Here is a 21118-nt window from a genome sequence, read left to right as displayed (position 1 = left end):
GTGTCTCTCCAAAGGCGTGGGTGAGCGTATCCATTTTGTCAGCATGTGTGAGATAATATATTTGTGACAAACATGTGTGCATTAGTGTATCACATTTCATTCCGTTGCTCATTTATTCATACGAAAAAAGATGCTCACTTACTCTTTCTTGAGAGGGTATATGCTTTTATAAACAAACCTCAGGTTTTTTTCCTCTGGGAAACCCTGACTAATACACATTGAACTCCGATCCAGGCTAGACCCTCACATTTATCCTCACAAAAACTCTGGAGCTAAGTCTATTGTGCCTATTGCCCAAATGCAAAAACCAGATCAGCTTGAGATCATAGAGTAAGAAAGAGACAGGCAGGCCTTGAACTCCAGCTCCAGCCCACAGCGCTACTTGCAGGGAATGCTTGGTGGAGAGAGTGGAAACCATCCAGGCTTATCCTGTTACCTTCACCCCTCCATGGCATATTATGGAGAAACTGTGTGCTATATTCTTTCTCCATCTCATTTCTTTTTGGGCCTTGGCCCCTGAATTTTTTGGAATCTAAGCTATTAACATTGTTGGATGTAGGATTAAAATCTTAGAATGTTGTTTCTGGACATAATTTAGCCTGTCCTTTTTGCTGAATAGGTGAGAAAGCTGAAGGCTAGAGAAGGGAAGCTGTGAGAGGCAGACCTGGACCTAGAAGCTAGGTGTGAGAATCCTCCAGCCACACAGACCATTCCTGAAACTCTGTAGCTGTCAGGGCCTCTAATCTGTTGTTCATCAGGCCTCTCTACCAGGTCTAGATTCAGAAAGGAGCCTGGATGTGATGAGACTGACTGTCATGGTTCAGAGAATGCCACTTACCTCTTCTTTAGGGCAGCTATGGTCCCCAGAATAGAGGGAACTAGCTCCTGCTCCAAGGGGTAGTCCTTTTCCACAGGTTAGTTACCCTTAGGAGCTTGGAGCAGACCTCAGCCTCTATCCCTTCTGGTGACCTCTTCTGGCCCCTTGCAAGGGCAGGCTACTGGATGCTGAGATGACGGGCAGAAAATCATTTCTATTTGTGAAGGTATTTTTGTTTCATTAACTGTTTTGCTAGCCCCAGGAGTGATGTAAACTTTGTTTTTCTGTTCCCTGTAGAGCTCAAAGTTGAATGATATGTGGGGTTAATAAAACTAGTTCTGGCTCTAAGCCAGCTCTGGCTGGACTCATGAAGGGAAAAGCTTGTCTCCCGGAAAATGAAGGGACATTTCACTTGTTTGGCAAAGTAACTCAGATTTTGATGGGATGTTTCAGCTGACTGAAGCAGAATTAAATGAAGTTATTTTCTCCAAGTTTGAGTGGCACTTTTGTCCACATTCTGAAATGTTCCTAATTGCATATGCTGTCTTCAGTGATCCCCTCTGTCATTACTATTTAATTCAGTGCAGTTGTTGACAATGCAGTTTGTCACCATTTGTCAAGCCATCCTCTGACCCTGGTGGCATTTTACCAGGAAGGGCCCCTGTGCTCCAAGTCCCACGTTAAAACATGCCAACCCCCAGCAATTAGTGTCATGGAAAGGATCTTTCAAAGGACTGGAGATGGTCCTACACACTATAATCAATAGATGAAAATTTCATTTACCATCTTGAGTTTTATTGTATGCAATGCTGGTGGAAGAGGGCAGATAGATAGATGGAGCTCAAGAACACCCAGTCCCTTCATATGCTGCAGGTGAATTAAGTGAGTTGGACTGCCCATACTGGGGGTCATGACTTCCATTCTGCCCTCACTTGAGACTATTGGGTATGTGTCCCTCTGGATTGGGCGGGAACTTTTGTCAGTACTCTCCAGACTGCCTCCTATTTACTGCATCTTGATTTTCTGTTCTATTGAACCCTTGGAATTGATGCATCATTTAGACTGTGAATTAAATGGCCAAGGCTCTGCACAGTGGCTTTCTTGCCTCCTAAATGCCTCATTCAGCTCATAGGCATATTCTTCTGGCCTCCAGCATTGGCACATGCTGAAGCCTAAGCTATCATAGGACCCCACTGTTAGGTGTAAGGGATTGATTTACCAGGCAGGTAGTCCTGATAGAGCCACTCAGAACCCTTTTTGGGCACTGAGATTTAGACACGGGGAGGAAAAGAGTCTCTGCTTTTTGCAGAAATTTCTACAATAAGAGTTGAGCAATGCCTTGTTTCCTGCTTATGAAAAAGTTCTGTACAGATAATGAGGCCAACACAAAAACAAAGGCAGAGATAAGCGGAAAGCGGTGGGGAAAGACAGAGAGAGAGAGAAAGAAAGAGAGAGAGAGAGAACATGCAAAGATGTGCACAAGTCACTGAAGCTCCTTTGAACTCCCTACAGGGAAGCCTGCCATGGCAGCTCTTCATAGCCCAGCTTGTGTAAGAAGACAGCAAAGAACAGGCTCTAGGAATGGGATTAGATGATTTTGTTTTGTTTTGGTTTTAAATCCAACTTACTCATTCTTTGTAAGATTCTGACTTTCCTGGGCATCAGTCTCTCCAGGTATAAAATGTGAATAATGAGAGTATCTTAGATTGTTATGAGGATTAACTGGGGCACTGCATGTTGATTCGTACCTAGTCAATACTCAGAAAATTCTAGCTATTAATATTCTCATAGTTAGTGTCATTCTTTCTTTGGCTGTCTTTGTCACAAACCAAGGACTGTGTGAGGCACACCAGGCTGGGATTGTGATCTGCACTCTTAGAAAGACTTAGGGTGAAGAAAGCCAGAATGAAGTGGATGTAGGGTTTTTGTTTTAATTGAAATGAAAGTTGAAAGGACATTGCAAAGGATCCTGGAGTCCAGGAGGATTAGAATTGGAAGTGATCTCGGGGACATGGGAACAGCTTGCTCAAGTTCTCAAAGCAAGTTGGGGCCACAAGACCAGGAGAAGACCCCAAAGGCACTGACCCTAGGCCTGGTTTCCTTCTTATCTCAGGTTTACTCTTGGATTTTATTTGAGGCTCCCAGTGGATTAGACGGTTTCAATGTTTCTATTTTATAGATAAGGAGATGGAGGCCTGGGTTGTTGGCAGGGCTGACTCAGGAAGCTAGGCTTTTTGACTTTGGTGCTTTCTCCTTTCCAAGAGATCCCACCGCCTCTGTCATGATCATTGATTTCCATCTCATGTTGATTGGGAAACCCTCCGCTATTGGCTGATGGTATCATCAGAGGCAAATTGATGTTGACAGTCAACAGCCTTGATTGCCACAATAGCTCAGGTGTATTTCACTCTGCTCCTCCTATTACCAGCCCTAGACAGAGCTGGTGGCAATTGCAGGCTCCAGTTGTTTGATTTATGCTGCTTATTTACTTTTCCTCAGAAAGAAACTTAAGGAGAGAAACTGTACCACTAGGCCTGTCGGCTCCTGAGTGGCAATGGAAGAAGCTAAATAAAACATTGTTTAACTAAAAAACTGGCACAACAAAATTGAGCATGATCAAGAGAGAGACTGAGCAGATCCAGCGTGGGACCATGGAAAAAGTGCAGACTCTGGATCTGCAGAGAGAGCTGTTCTCCTATCTCTGCCCAGCTATTGACCTCTGCATAATGCCAGTAGGCCAGTCCACTCTATCTTGGAAAGGAATATAACGCACTGGCTAAGAATAAGTTAGCTGTAGCATCAAGCTGCCTGGATTCACATACTTGAAATACCACCTAGCAGTGAGATTTTGGACAATTTCCCTTAGCTGCTTTGTGCCTCAATTTCTCATCTTTAAAATGGGCATAATGATTCTCCCTACATTATGGGGTTGATGGAAGTATTAAATAACATACATAGTCAACATCCAGTGTTAGAATGGTACCTAACACAGAGCAAACTCTCAAGTCATGAGAACTAGTCTTTAAGAATAATCATCTCAGGGTATATATACTACAAGTAGAGCATCACTCATGGTTCTCCCGGTAGGTAATAAAAAAGGGGACACCTTTTCCCAGCGAACTTCCAGATCAGAGCAGAGAGCAGTCAAGGTCATAGAAGAAATAGTGCCACACAAGGTAGAGGGTGAAGATAACTTGTGATAACCAAGCTCTTACCACCGGCCAGGTGCTGCATCTACAGTGTCTTGATTCTTGCTACATCCCTATGCTTGTTGAGCTGGTTCCATCTTCAAGATGTAAGAACTAAGGCTCAGGAGGGCTGTACAGCTAGAAAGGATGGTGCTTACATTAAAACTGATGATGTTCTAACCCCAAGTTTATGTATTTTCCACAGTGCTAAGATGGCAGAGGGTTATAAACAGTTAGATTAAGGTATTTGTGAAGGCTTCAAGGAGGAGGTAGCCTTTGAACTTTTCTGGAAGGGAGGGAAAAGCTAATCAATGTAGAGGCTCTGGATGGGCATTTTGAGGCAGAAAGGACAGGATTCATATGGCCTGTGAGGGGAATAGAACTGGCATCCAAGACGTGCACAAGGTCAGGTCTTGAGCCATTCCAAAATTGTCAAAATGTAGATTTCCTGCTCCCCACCCAAGAAGCTGTGGCCCAATAGATCAGAAGTGTGACCCCAGGAGGGTGCATTTTAACAAGCTCTCCTGAAGGCAGTCAAATACAAGTGGTCTCAGAACCACATTTGGAGAAATTCTGGTGCAGGGATTAGAGAATGATGAAACTGCAAATGTGGGTTGGGGCAGATATTGTGGTAGAGTCGGTGGGTTTGCAGGGGGTATTCCTATAAATTTTACAGATAAATCAATGAAAGAAGCAATAGAAAATAGGAGGCATTCATCTGGTTCAGCAGCCTGAGCCACCCCACCCTTCCTGAATATAGATGGTGGTGCAGAAGGTGCTCTCTGCTCCACGCTCAGGCAGATCTCCAGGCATTCAGAGAGCATCTGCTCACCTGAAGCAGCAGCCTCAGTCATCCCACCCCTCCTATCCAGAAATCTTGGTACAGTGGCGGGGTGGGTGGCTCTCCACTACATGCCCAGGTACATCTCCAGGCATCTGGAACACCCACTCTCCTGGACTTAGAGCTTAGGCCACTCCCAGTCCCCATGCAGAGAACTTGGGGCCAAGAAGGTTTCCAAGCTCCATGCCTAGGCAAGCTTTTGGGTGCTTGGTGGCCTTCCGCTGGATTTTCCCTAGCCACTGGTGCTTGTACTTGCCACTGGGGGACCTGTAGGTGGGCCTGCCTGGTCTGGTTCTCCCCTTCATGGCCCCCACTCTCCTGAGGCTGAGCAGGAAGCTCAGACCAATTGGCATTCCATGAATTAACCCATTGCCTGAAGCAACCGAGGGCTCCTCTCCATAAACAAAGTATATACTCAGCCATGTTGCCCACAGTTGGCTCTCACCTATATGTGCCATCTATAGTCTCTCAGATTGAACTGCACATCCCAATATAAAATCTGCTGAAAGAATTGCAGAGATATAGAAGCAAAGCCAAAAGACCCTACCGAACATTCTCTACAGTCACACAACCTAGGAAAGGGGGAAAGAGAAAGAAAAATAATTAAAAATATTATAGAGCAAGAAAGAAAAAGGAAAAATTCTACCTGCACAAAAATAATTACAAAAATCTGAAGTGTCAGCATCTCCACATGAGAGGGTACCAGTGTAAGAATTCTGGCACCATAAAAAATCTGAATGTAGTGATACCACCAAAAGATTGCTCTAGCTCTCCAGAAATAGTCCCTAACCCAAATGAAAACTCAGAAATGACACATAAAGAATTCGAAGCATGGATTGCAAGGAAGTTCAATGAGATCCAAGACAAGGTGGAAAATCAACACAAAGAAACTCATAAAGCAATTGAAAAACTCACCTAAGGATTTAAAAAATACAATTGAAAGATTTCCCAATAGACTGGACAAAGCAGAGAAAGAATTCAGAGCCTGAAGACTGGTCTTTCTAACTAACCCAGTCAGATGAAAATAAAGAAAAAATAATTTTAAAAAATGAGCAAAGTCTTCAAGAAATATGGAATTGTGTGAAGTAATGAAACCTATGAATTATTGATGAATTATTGGCGTTCCTGAGAGAGACTGAGAAAAAGAAAACAATTTGGAAAGCATACTTGAGGGAATATATTCAAGAAAACTTTCTTATTCTTGCTAGAGATAGACATCCAGATACAAGAAATCCAGAGAGCACCTGCAAGATACTATACAACATGGACATCATCAAGGGATGTAGTTGCCAGACTGTCAAAAGTCAATGCTAAAAAAAAAGTCCTAAAGGCAGCTAGAGAAAAAAGTCAGATCACATACAAAGGAAACCCCATCAGGTTAACAGTGGGTTTCTCAGCAGAAACTTTACAAGCCAGGAGAGACTGGGGCCTTATTTTCAGCATTCTTAAAGAAAAGAAAATCCAACCAAGAATTTCATATGCCACCAAACTAAGCTTCATAAGGAAAGGAGAGAAAAAAATCATTTCCAGACAAGCAAGTGCAAAGGGAATTCATTACTACTAGACAACCCTGACAAGAGACCCTTAAGAGAGTACTAAATATAAAACTGACGGAGCAGCCAGAAACAGCTCCAGTCTGCAGGTCCCAGTGAGACCAACGCAGAAGGCAGGGATTTCTGCATTTCCAACTGAGGTACCCAGTTGATCTCACTGGGCCTGGTTAGGCAGTGGGTGCAGCTCGAGAAGGGCTAGAAGAAGCAGGGTGGGGCATTGCCTCACCTGGGAAGTGCAAGGAGCCAGGGGACCTCCCTCTCCCAGCCAAGGGAAGCCATGAGGGACTGAGCTACTGGATACTATGTTTTTCCCATGGTTTTTGCAATCCACAGATAAGGAGATTCCCTCATGTGCCCAAACCACCAGGGACCTGGGTTTCAAGCACAAAACTGGGCAGCTGTTTGGGCAGACACTGAGCTAGCTGCAGGAGTTTTTTGCTTACCCCAGTGGCATCTGGAACCCCAGAGAGACGGAACCATTCACTCCCCTGGAAAGGGGGCTGAAGCCAGGGAGCCAAGTGGTCTCGCTCAGCGGGTACCACTCCCATGGAGCGCAGCAAGCTAAGAACCACTGGCTTGAAACTCTCAACTGCCAGCACAGCAGTATGAAGTCGACCTGGGACAATCAAGCTTGGTTAGGGGAGGGGTATATGCCATTACTGAGGCTTTAGTAGGTGGTTTTCCCCTGACAGTGCTAAGGAGGCTGGGAGGTTTGGACTGGGCGGAATTCACCAGAGCACAGCAAAGTGGCTATGGCCAGACTGCTTCTCTAGATTCCTCCTCACTGGGCAGGGCACCTCTGAAGGAAATGCAGCAGCTTCAGTCAAGGGCTTACAGATAAAACTACCATACCACTGGGACAGAGCACTTGGGGGAAGGGGCGGCTGTGGGGGCAGCTTCAGTGGATTTAATCTTTTCTGCTTGCTGGCTCTGAAGAGAGAAGCTGATCCTGACATGAAGAATTCTCCCAGCACAGTGCACCAGCTCTGCTAAGGGAAAGACTACCTCTTCAAGTGGGTCCCTGACCCCCATGCCTCCTGACTAGGAGAGACCTCCCAACAGGGGTCAACAGGCACCTCATACAGGAGAGCTCCAGCTTACATCAGGCCAGTGCCCCTCTGAGACGAAGCTTCTAGAGGAAGGAACAGGCAGCAATTTTTGCTGTTCTGCAGGCTTCACAGGTGATAACAAGGTGAACAGGGTCTGGAGTGGACCTCCAGCGAACTCCAGCAGACATGCAGAAGAGGGACATGACTGTTAAAAGAAAAACTAAAAAACAGAAAGCAACAATACCAACATCAACAAAAAGGACCCCCACACAAAAACCCAATCCAAAGGTCATGAGGCTCAAAGACTAAGGTAGGTAAATCCACAAAGATGATGCAAAAATGCTGAAAAGTCCTAAAACCAAAGTGCCTCTTCTCCTCCAAATGATCGCAACTCCTCTCCAACAAAGACACAAAACTAGACAGAATGAGACTGATGAATCGACAGAAGTAGGCTTAAGAAGGTGGGTAATAAAAAACACCTCTGAGCTGAAGGAGCATGTTCTAACCCAATGCAAGGAAGCTAAGAACTTGATAAAAGGTTACAGGAACTGGTAACTAGAATAATCAGTTTAGAGAGGAATATAAAAGACCTGACGCAGCTGAAAAACACAGAATGAAAATGTTGTGAAGCATATACAAGTATGAATAGCCAAATCAATCAAGTGGAAGAAAGAATATCAGAGATTGAAGATGAACTTACTGAAATAAGGCATGAAGACAAGATTTGAGAAAAAAGAATGAAAAGGAATGAACAAAGCTCCCAAGAAATATGGGACTATGTGAAAAGACCAAACCTATGATTGGTTGATGTACCTGAAAGTGACAAGGAGAATGGAAGCAAGTGACAAGGAGAATGGAAGCAAGTGACAAGGAGAATGGAAGCAAGTTTGAGATATTATTTAGGAGAACTTCCCCAAACTAGCAAGACAGGCCAACATTCAAATTCAGGAAATACACCACAAAGATACTCCTCGAGAAGACCAACCCCAAGACACATAATTGTCAGATTCTCCAAGGTTGAAATGAAGGCAAAAATGTTAAGGGCAGCTGGAAAGAAAGGTCAGGTTACCTACAAATGGAAGCCCATCAGACTAACAGTGAATCATTCTGCAGAAACCCTACAAGCTAGAAGAGAGTGTGGGGCCAATATTAAACATTCTTAAAGAAGAAAATTTTCAACCCAGAATTTCATATCCAGCCAAATTAAGCTTCATAAGCAAAAGAGAAATAAAATCCATTCCAGACAGGCAAATGCTGAGGGATATTGTTACCACCAGGCTGGCTTATGGAAAGGAAAAACTGGTACCAGCCACTGCAAAAACAAACCAAAATATAAACACCAAAGACACCATGAAGAAACTGCATTGGGCGGTTCCAAGATGGCCAAATAGTAACAACTCCAGTCTACATCTCCCAGCATCAGTGACTCAGAAGACAGGTGATTTCTGCATTCCCAACCGAGGTATTGGGTTCATCTAACTGGGGCTTGTTGGACAGTGGGTGTAGGACAGTAGGTGCAGCGCACCAAGTATGAGCCGAAGCAGGGCAAGGCATCACCTCACCCGGGAAGTGCAAGGGGTCAGGGAATTCCCTTTCCTAGCCAAGCAAAGCTGTGACAGACGGCACCTGGAAAATCGGGTCACTCCCACCGTAATACTGTGCTTTTCCAATGGTCTTAGCAAACGGCATACCAGGAGATTATATCCCGTGCCTGGCTTGGAGGGTCCCATGCCCACGGAGCCTCACTCATTGCTAGCACAGCAGTCAGAGATTGAACTGCACGGTGGCAGCAAGGCTGGGGGAGGGGCGCCCACCATTGCTGAGGCTTGAGTAGGCAAACAAAGCGGCCAGGAAGCTTGAACTGGGTGGAGCCCACCACAGCTCAAGGAGGCCTGCCTGCCTCTGTAGACTCCACCTCTGGGGGCAGGGCATAGCCAAACAAAAGGCAGCAGAAACCTCTGCAGACTTAAAAGTCCCTGTCTGACAGCTTTGAAGAGACTGGTGGTTCTCCCAGCACGGAGTTTGAGATCTGAGAACGGACAGACTGCTTCCTCAAGTGGGTCCCTGACCCCGGAGTAGCCTAACTGGAAGGCACCCCCCAGTAGGGGCAGACTGACACCTCACACGGCCGGGTACCCCTCTGAGATGAAACTTCCAGAGGAACGATCAGGCAGCAACATTTGCTGTTCACCAATATCTGCTGTTCTGCAGCCTCCACTGCTGATACCCAGGCAAACAGGGTCTGGAGTGGACCTCCAGCAAACTCCAACAGACCTGCAGCTGAGGGTCCTGTCTGTTAGAAGGAAAACCAACAAACAGAAAGGACATCCACACCAAAACCCCATCTGTATGTCACCATCATCAAAGACCAAAGGTAGATAAAACCACAAAGATGTGGAAAAAACAGAGCAGAAAAACCGGAAACTCTAAAAATCAGAGAGCCTCTCCTCCTAAGGAACGCAGCTCATCACCAGCAACAGAAGAAAGCTGGACGGAGAATGACTTTGACAAGTTGAGAGAAGAAGGCTTCAGACGATTAAACTTCTCCGAGCTACAGGAGGAAGTTTGAACCCATCGCAAAGAAGCTAATAACCTTGAAAAAAGATTACATGAATGGCTAACTGGAATAACCAATGCAGAGAAGTCCTTAAAGGACCTGATGAAGCTGAAAACCATGGCACGAGAACTACATGATGAATGCACAAGCTTCAGTAGCCGATTCGATCAACTGGAAGAAAGGGTATCACTGATGGAAGACAAAATGAATGAAATGAAGCGAGAAAAGAAGTTTAGAGAAAAAAGAATAAAAAGAAACAAACAAAGCCTCCAAGAAATATAGGACTATGTGAAAAGACCAAATCTACGTCTGATTGGTGTACCTGAAAGTGACGGCAACAATGGAACCAAGTTGGAAAACACTCTGCAGGATATTATCCAGGAGAACTTCCCCAACCTACCAAGGCAGGCCAACATTCAATTTCAGGAAATACAGACAACGCCACAAAGATACTCCTTGAGAAGAGCAACTCCAAGACACATAATTGTCAGATTCACCAAAGTTGAAATGAAGGAAAAAAGGTAGCCAGAGAGAAAGGTCGGGTTACTTACAAAGGGAAACCCATCAGATTAACAGTGGATCTCTCAGCAGAAACTCTACAAGCCAGAAGAGAGTGGGGGCCAATATTCAACATTCTTAAAGAAAAGAATTTTCAACCCGGAATTTCATATCCAGCCAAACTAAGCTTCATAAGTGAAAGAGAAATAAAATCCTTTGCAGACAAGCAAATGCTGAGAGATTTTGTCACCACCAGGCCTGCCCTACAAGAGCTCCTGAAGGAAGCACTAAATATGGAAAGGAAAAACTGATACCAGCCACTGCAAAAACATGCCAAATTGTAAAGACCATCGATGCTAGGAAGAAATTGCAGCAACTAACAAGCAAAATAACCAGCTAACATCATAATGACAGGATCAAACTCACATATAACAATATGAACCTTAAATGTAAATGGGCTAAATGCTCCAATTAAAAGACACAGACTGGCAAATTGGATAAAGAGTCAAGACCCATCAGTGTGCTATATTCAGGAGACCCATCTGACAGGCGGAGACACACATAGGCTCAAAATAAAGGGATGGAGGAAGATCTACCAAGCAAATGGAAAACAAAAAAAAGGCAGGGATTGCAATCCTAGTCTGTGATACAGCAGACTTTAAACCAACAAAGATCAAAAGAGACAAAGAAGGCCATTACATAATGGTAAAGGGATCAATTCAACAAGAAGAACTAACTATCCTAAATATATATGCACCCAATACAGGAGCACCCAGATTCATAAAGCAAGTCCTTAGTGACTTACAAAGAGACTTAGACTCCCACACAATAATAATGGGAGACTTTAACACCACACTGTCAACATTAGACAGATCAATGAGACAGAAAGTTAACAAGGATATCCAGGAATTGAATTCAGCTCTGCACCAAGTGGACCTAACAGACATCTACAGAACTCTCCACCCCAAATCAACAGAATATACATTCTTCTCAGCACCACGTCGCACTTATTCCAAAATTGACCACATAATTGGAAGTAAAGAACTCCTCAGCAAATGTAAAAGAACAGAAATTATAACAAACTATCTCTCAGACCACAGTGCAATCAAACTAGAACTCAGGATTAAGAATCTCACTCAAAACCGCTCAACTACATGGAAACTGAACAACCTGCTCCTGAATGACTACTCGGTACATAACTGAATGAAGGCAGAAATAAAGATGTTCTTTGAAACCAAAAAGAAAAAAGGCACAACATGCCAGAATCTCTGGGACACATTCAAAGCAGTGTGTAGAGGGAAATTTATAGCACTAAATGCCCACAAGGGACAGCAGGAAAGATCCAAACTTGACACCCTAACATCACAATTAAAAGAACTAGAGAAGTAAGAGCAAACACATTCAAAAACCAGCAGAAGGCAAGAAATTACTAAGATCAGAGCAGAACTGAAGGAGACAGAGACACAAAACACCCTTCAAAAAATCAATGAATCCAGGAGCTGCTTTTTTGAAAAGATCAACAAAATTGATAGACCGCTAGCAAGACCAATACAGAAAAAAAGAGAGAAGAATCAAATAGACGTAATAAAAAATGATAAAGGGAATATCACCACCGATCCCACAGAAATACAAACTACCATCAGAGAATACTATAAACACCTCTATGCGAATAAACTAGAAAATCTAGAAGAAATGGATAAATTCCTCGACATATACACCCTCCCAAGACTAAACCAGGAAGAAGCTGAATCTCTGAATAGACCAATAACAGGCTCTGAAATTGAGGCAATAATTAATACGTTACCAACCAGAAAAAGTCCAAGGCCAGACGGATTCACAGCCAAATTCTACCAGAGGTACCAGGACGAGCTGGTACCATTCCTTCTGAAAGTATTCCAATCAATAGAAAAAGAGGGAATCCTCCCTAACTCAATTTATGAGGCCAGCATCATCCTGATACCAAAGCCTGGCAGAGACACAACCAAAAAAGAGAATTTTAGACCAATATCCCTGATGAACATCAATGCAAAAATCCTCAATAAAATACTGACAAACCGAATCCAGCAGCACATCAAAAAGCTTATCCACCATGATCAAGTGGGCTTCATCCCTGGGATGCAAGGCTGGTTCAACATATGCAAATCAATAAATGTAATCCCGCATATAAACAGAACCAAAGTCAAAAACCACATGATTATCTCAACAGATGCAGAAAAGGCCTTTGACAAAATTCAACAGCCCTTCATGCTAAAAACTCTCAATGAATTAGGTATTGATGGGACGTATCTCAAAATAGTAAGAGCTATCATGACAAACCCACAGCCAATATCATACTGAAAGGGCAAAAACTGGAAGCATTCCCTTTGAAAACTGGCACAAGACAGGGATGCCCTCTCTCACCACTCCTATTCAACATAGTGTTGGAAGTTCTGGCCAGGGTAATCAGGCAGGAGAAAGAAATAAAGGGTATTCAATTAGGAAAAGAGGAAGTCAAATTGTCCCTGTTTGCAGATGACATGATTGTATATTTAGAAAACCCCATTGTCTCAGCTCAGAATCTTCTTAAGCTGATAAGCAACTTCAGCAAAGTCTCAGGATACAAAAATCAATGTGCAAAAATCACAAGCATTCTTATACACCAATAACAGACAAACAGAGAGCCAAATCATGAGTGAACTCCCATTCACAATTGCTTCAAGGAGAATAAAATACCTAGGAATCCAACTTACAAGGGATGTGAAGGACCTCTTCAAGGAGAAGTACAAACCACTGCTCAATGAAATAAAAGAGGACACAAACAAATGGAAGAACATTCCATGCTCATGGATAGGAAGAATGAATATCATGAAAATGGCTGTACTGCCCAAGGTAATTTATCGATTCAATGCCATCCCCATCAAGCTACCAGTGACTTTCTTCACAGAATTGAAGAAAATTACCTCAAAGTATGGAACCAAAAAAGAGCCCGCATTGCCAATTCAATCCTAAGCCAAAAGAACAAAGATGGAGGCATCATGCTACCTGACTTGAAACTATACTACAAGGCTACAGTAACCAAAACAGCACGGTACTGGTACCAAAACAGAGATATAGATCAATGGAACAGAACAGAGCCCTCAGAAATAATACCACACATCTACAACCATCTGATCTTTGACAAACCTGACAAAAACAAGAAATGGGGAAAGGATTCCCTATTTAATAAATGGTGCTGGGAAAACTGGCTAGCCATATGTAGAAAGCTGAAACTGGATCCCTTCCTTACACCTTATACAAAAATTAATTCAAGCTGGATTAAACACTTAAATTGTAGACCTAAAACCATAAAAACCCTAGAAACAAACCTAGGCAATACCATTCAGGCCATAGGCATAGGCAAGGACTTCATGACTAAAACACCAAAAGCAATGGCAACAAAAGCCAAAATTGACAAATGGGATCTAATTAAACTAAAGAGCTTCTGCACAGCAAAAGAAACTACCATCAGAGTGAACAAGCAACCTACAGAATGGGAGAAAATTTTTGCAATCTACTTATCTGACAAAGGGCTAATATCCAGAATCTACAAAGAACTGAAACAAATTTACAAGAAACAAACAAACAACCCCATCAACAAGTGGGCGAAGGATATTAACAGACACCTCTCAAAAGAAGACATTTATGCAGCCAACAGACATGAAAAAATGCTCATCATCACTGGCCATCAGAGAAATGCAAATCAAAACCACAATGAGATACCATCTCACACCAGTTAGAATGGCAATCATTAAAAAGTCAGGAAACAACAGGTGCTGGAGAGGACGTGGAGAAATAGGAACACTTTTACACTGTTGGTGGGACTGGAAACTAGTTCAACCACTGTGGAAGACAGTGTGGCGATTCCTCAGGGATCTAGAATTAGAAATACTATTTGACCCAGCCATCCCATTACTGGGTATATACCCAAAGGATTATAAATCATGCTGCTATAAAGACACATGCACATGTATGTTTATAGCAGCACTATTCTCAACAGCAAAGACTTGGAACCAACCCAAATGTCCATCAATGATAGACTGGATTAAGAAAATATGGCACATATACACCATGGAATACTATGCAGCCATAAAAAAGGATGAGTTCATGTCATTTTTAGGGACATGGATGAAGCTGGAAACCATCATTCTCAGCAAACTATTGCAAGGACAAACAACCAAACACTGCATGTTCTCACTCACAGTTGGGAATTGAACAATGAGAACATTTGGACACAGGAAGGAGAACATCACACACCGGGGCTTGTTGTGGGTTGAGGGAAGGGGAGAGGGATAGCATTAGGAGACATACCTAATGTACATGACAAGTTAATTGGTGCAGCACACCAACATGGCACATGTATACCTATGTAACAAACCTGCATGTTGTGCACATGTACCCTAGAACTTAAAGTATAATAATAATAAAAAAAGAAAACCAAAAAGAAAGAAACTGCATCGACTAATGTGCAAAATAACCAGCTAGCATCATGATGACAGGATCAAATTCACACACAACAATATTAACCTTAAATGTAAATGGGCTAAATGTCCCAATTAAAAGGCACAGCCTGGCAAATTGGATAAAGAGTCAAGACTTATCTCTGTGCTGTACTCAGGAGACTCATCTCATGTGCAAAGACACACATGGCCTCAAAATAAAGGAATGGAGGAATATCCATCAAACAAATGGAAAGCAAAAAAAAAAAGCAGGGGTTGCAATGCTAGTCTCTGATAAAAGAGACTTTAAACCAACAAAGATCAAAAAAAGACAAAGGAGGGCATTACATAATGGTAAAGGGATCAATGCAACAAGAGCTAACTATCCTAAATATATATGCACCGAATACAGGAGCACCCAGATTCATAAAACAAGTTCTTATAGACCTACAAGGAGACTTAGACTCCCAAACAATAATAGTTGGAGACTTTAACACCCCACTGTCAATATTAGACAGATCAATGAGAAAGAAAATTAACAACAATATTCAGGACTTGAACTCAGCTCTGGATCAAGCTGACCTAATAGACATCTACTGAAATGTCCACCTAAATCGATAGAATATACATTCTTCTCAGCACCACATAGCACTTATTCTAAAATCGACCATATAACTGGAAGTAAAACATGCCTCAGCAAATGCAAAATAACGGAAATCGTAACAAACAGTTTGTCAGACCACAGCGCAATCAAATTACAACTCAGGATTAAGAAACTCCCTCAAAACTGCACAACGACATGGAAAGTGAAAAACCTGCTCCTGAATTACTACTGTGTAAATAATGAAATCAAAGCGGAAATAACGAAGTTCTTTCAAACCAATGAGAACAAAGGGAAAACATATCAGAATCCCTGGGACACAGCTAAAGCAGTGTTAAGAGAGAAATTTATAGCACTAAATGCCCACAAGGGACAGCAGGAAAGATCTAAAATTGACACCCTAACATTGTAATTAAAAGAACTCGGGAAGCAAGAGCAGACAAATTCAAAAGCTAGCAGAAGACAAGAAATAACTAAGATCAGAGCAGAACTGAAGGAGACAGAGACACGAAAAACCCTTCAAAAAGTCAGTGAATCCAGGAGCTGGTTTTTTTGAAATGATTAACAAAATAGATAGACCGCTAGCAAGACTAATAAAGAAGAAAAGAGAGAATAATCAAATAGACACAATAAAAAATGATAAGAGATATCACCACCGATCCCACAAAAATACAAACTAGCATCAGAGAATATTATAAACACCTCTATGAAAATAAACTACAAAATCTAGAAGAAATGGATAAATTTTTGGACACATACATCCTCCCAAGACTAAACCAGGAAGAAGTTGAATCCCTGAATAGACCAATAACAAGTTCTGAAATTGAGGCAGTAATTAATAGCCTACCAACCAAAAAAGCCCAGGACCAGACGGATTCACCGCCGAATTCTACAAAGAGGAGCTGGTACCATTCCGAAACTATTACAAACAATAGAAAAAGAGGGACTACTCCCTAACTCATTTTATGAGTCCAACATTATCCTGATACCAAAACCTAGCAGAGACATAGCAAAAAAAGAAAATTTCAGGCCAATATCCCTGATGAACATCAATGCAAAAATCCTCAATAAAATACTGGCAAACCGAATCCACCAGCACATCAAGAAGCTTATCCAACACGATCAAGTCCCCTTCATCCCCGGGATGCAAGGCTGGTTCAACATACACAAATCAATAAACATAATCCATCACATAAATAGAACCAATGACAACAACCACATGATTATCTCAATAGATGCATAAAAGGCCTACAATAAAATTCAACATCCCTTCATGCTAAAAACTCTCAATAAACTAGGTATTGATGGAACATATCTCAAAATAATAAGAGCTATTTATTTCAAACCCATAGCCAATATCATAGTGAATGGCAAAAGCTGGAAGCATTCCCTTTGAAAACCAGCCTAAGGATGCCCTCTCTCACCACTCCTATTCAACTTAGTATTGGGAGTTCTGGCTAGGGCAATCAGGCAAGAAAATGAGTATTCAAATAGGAAGGGAGGAAATCAAATTGTCTCTTGCTGCAGATGACATGACTGTATATTTAGAAAACCCCATCATCTCAGCCCCAAAACTCCTTAAGCTGATAAGCAACTTCAGCAAAGTCTCAGGATACAACATCCATGTGTATAAATCACAAGCAGTGCTATCCACCAATAAAAGACAAGCAGAGAGCCAAATCATGAGTGAACTCCCATTCACAATTGCTACAAAGAGAATAAAATACCTAGGAATACAACTTACAAGGGCATGAAGGACCTCTTAAAGGAGAACTACAAACCACTGCTCAAGGAAATAAGAGAGGACACAACCAAATGGAAAAACACTCAATGCTAATGGATAGAAAGAATTAATATGAAAATGGCCACACTGCCCAACGTAATTTATAGATTCAGTGCTGTTCCCATCAAGCTACCATTGGCTTTCCTCACAGAACCAGAATAAAAAACTATTTTAAATTTCATATAGAACCAAAAAAGAGCTCGTAGAGCCAAGACAATCCAAGGCAAAAAGAACAAAGCTGGAGGCATCACACTACCTGACTTGAAACTATACTACAAAGCTGCAGAAACGAAAACAGCATGGCCCTAGCACCAAAACAGATATATAGACCAATGGAACAGAACAGAGGCCTCAGAAATAACACCACACATCTACAATCATCTGATCTTTGACAAACCTGACAAAAACAAGCAATGAGGAAAGGATTCCCTATTTAATAAATGGTGTTGAGAAAACTGTCTAGCCATATGCAGAAAACAAACTGGACCCCTCCCTTACACCTTATTCAAAAATTAACTCAAGATGGATTAAAGACTTAGACGTAAAACCAAAAATCATAAAAACCCTAGAAGAAAACCTAAGCAATACCATTCAGGACATAGGCATGGGCAAAGACTTCATGACTAAAATAACAAAAGCAATGGCAACAAAAGCCAAAATTGACAAATGGGATCTAACTAAAGAGCTTCTGCACAGCAAAAGAAACTATCATCAGAGTGAACACACAAATTACAGAATGGGAGAAAATTTTTGCAATGTATCCATCTAACAAAGGTCTAATATTCAGAATCTAAAACGAACATAAACAAATTTACAAGAAAAAACAAACAACCCCAGCAAAAAGTGGGTGAAGGATATGAACACACACTTCTCAAAAGAAGACATTTATGTGGCCAACAAACATATGAAAAAAAGCTCATCATCACTGGTCATTAGAGAAATGTAAATCAAAACCACAATGAGATACCATTTCTTGCCAGTTAAAACAGCAATCATTAAAAAGTCAGGAAACAACAAATGCGGGAGAGGATGTGGAGAAATAGGAACACTTTTACACTGTTGGTGGGAGTGTAAATTAGTTCAACCATTGTGGAAGACAGTGTGGCAATTCCTCAAGGAAGTAGAACCAGAAATACCATTTGATCCAGCAATCCCATTACTGGGTATATACCTAAAGGAGTATAAATCATCTACTATAAAGACACATGCACACATATGTTTAATGCAGCACTATTTACAATAACAAAGACTTGGAACCAACCCAAATGCCCATCAATGATAGACTGGATAAAGAAAATGTGGCACATATGCACCATGGAATACTATGCAGCCATAAAAAAGAATGAGTTCATGTCCTTTGCAGGAACATGGATGAAGCTGGAAACCATCATTCTCAGCAAACTAACACAGGAACAGAAAAACAAACACCACATGTTCTCTCTCATAAGTGGGAGCTGAACAAGGAGAAAACATGGAGACAGGGAGGGGAACATCATACACCCATGCCTGTCAGGAGGTGGGGGGCAAGGGGAGGGAGAGCATTAGGACAAATACCTAATGCATGTGGGGCTTAAAACCTAGATGACAGGTTGATACGTGCAGCAAATCACCATGGCACACGTATTCTTATATAACAAACCTGCACGTTCTGCACATTTATCCCAGAACTTAAAGTAAAATTTAAAAAAAGAAAAAAAAATCTAAAAAAAATCATATGGAATCAAAAAAGAGCCTGAATAGCCAAGGCAATCCTAAGTAAAATGAACGAAGCCAGAGGCATCATATTACCTCATCTTAAATTACACTATGAGGCTACAATAAGCAAAACCACGTGCTACTGATGCCAAAACAGACACATAGACCAATGAAATAGAATACACAGTCCAGAAATAATGCTGCACACTTCACACCTATTATCATCTGATCTTCAACAAAGTTGACAAAAACAAGCAATGTAGAAAGGACTCCCTATTCAACAAATGGTGCTGGGATAACTGGCTAGCTATATGCAAAAGATTGAAACTGGACCACTTTTTACACAAAAATTAATTAAAGATGGATTAAGAACTTAAACGTAAAACCCAAAACTATAAAAATCCTGGAAGACGACCTAGGCAATATCATTCTGGACATAGGAAAGGACAAAGATTTCATACCGAAGATGCCAAAATCAATTGCAATAAAAGCAAAAATTGACAAATGGGATCTAATAAAACTAAAGAGCTTCTGCACAGCAAAGAAACCATCCAGAGAGTGAACACAACACACAGAATGGAAGAAAATTATGGCAAACTGTGCATCTGTTTAAAGTCTAGTATCCAGCCTCTATAAGGAACTTAAACAAATTTACAAATAAACAAACAAACAAACAAAAACGACAGGCCAGGCTCAGTGGTTCACGCCTGTAATCCCAGCACTTTGGAAGGCCAAGGCAGGCAGATTACTTGAGGCCAGGAGTTCGAGACCAGCCTGGCCAACGTGGCAGAACCCCATCTCTACCAAAAATACAAAAATCAGATGGGCGTGGTGGTGCACACCTGTAATCCCAGCTACTAGGGGAGGGCTGAGGCAGTAGGATCGCTTGAACATGGAAGGCAGAGGTTGCAGTGAGTGGAGATCGCACCACTGCACTCCAACCTGGGCAAGAGTCTGAGATTCTGTCTCAAAAAACAAACAAAACAAAAAAAAAATACCTTTAAAAACTGGGCCAAGGATATGAACACTTTCAAAAGAAGACATGCATGCAGCCAACAAGCATATGAAATAAAACTCAACATCACTGATCATTAGAGAAATGCAATTCAAACCACAATGAGATATCATCTCACACGAGTCAGAAAGGCTATCATTAAAAAATAAAAAAAAAATAATAACAGATGCTGGTGATGTTATGGAGAAAAAGAAACACTTACTCACTGTTGGTGGAAGTGGAAATTAGTTCAACCATGGTGGGAAACAGTGTGGTGATTCCCCAAAGACCTAAAAACAGAACTACCATTCCATCCAGCAATCCCATTACTGGGTATATAGCCAAATGAATATAAATTGTTCTATCATAAAGACACATGCACACACGTGTTCACTGCAGCACTATTAACAATACCAAAAACATGGAATCAACCTAAAAGCTTATCAATGGTAGACTGGATAAAAAGAAATGTAGCACACATATACCATTGAACAGTATGCAGCCATAAAAATGAATGACATTATATCCATTGATGGAACATGGATGGAGCTAGAGGTCATTATACTTAGCAAAGTAATGCAGGAACAGAAGACTAAATATTGCATGTTCTCACTTATAAGTGGGAGCTAAAAATGAGAAAAAACGGACACATAGAGGAGAACAACAGGCACTGGGGCCTACCAAAGAGTGGAGGATGGGAGGAGGGAGAGGATCAGGAAAAATAGCTCATGAGTACCAGGCTTAATACCTAGGTGACAAAATAATCTGTACAACAAACACCCATGACACAAGTTCACCTGTATAACAAACCTGCACCACATGTATGCCCGAACTTAATATAAAAGATAAAAAAGAATAAAGAGGCCGGGCGCGGTGGCTCACGCCTGTAATCCCAGCACTTTGGGAGGCCGAGGCGGGCGGATCACGAGGTCAGGAGATCGAGACCATCCCGGCTAAAACGGTGAAACCCCGTCTCTACTAAAAATACAAAAAAATTAGCCGGGCGTAGTGGCGGGCGCCTGTAGTCCCAGCTACTTGGGAGGCTGAGGCAGGAGAATGGCGTGAACCCGGGAGGCGGAGCTTGCAGT

The sequence above is a fragment of the Homo sapiens genome, chromosome X, assembly GCF_000001405.40.
Source record: "Homo sapiens chromosome X, GRCh38.p14 Primary Assembly".
Taxonomy (NCBI): domain Eukaryota; kingdom Metazoa; phylum Chordata; class Mammalia; order Primates; family Hominidae; genus Homo; species Homo sapiens.
This window is presented reverse-complemented; position numbering follows the sequence as displayed.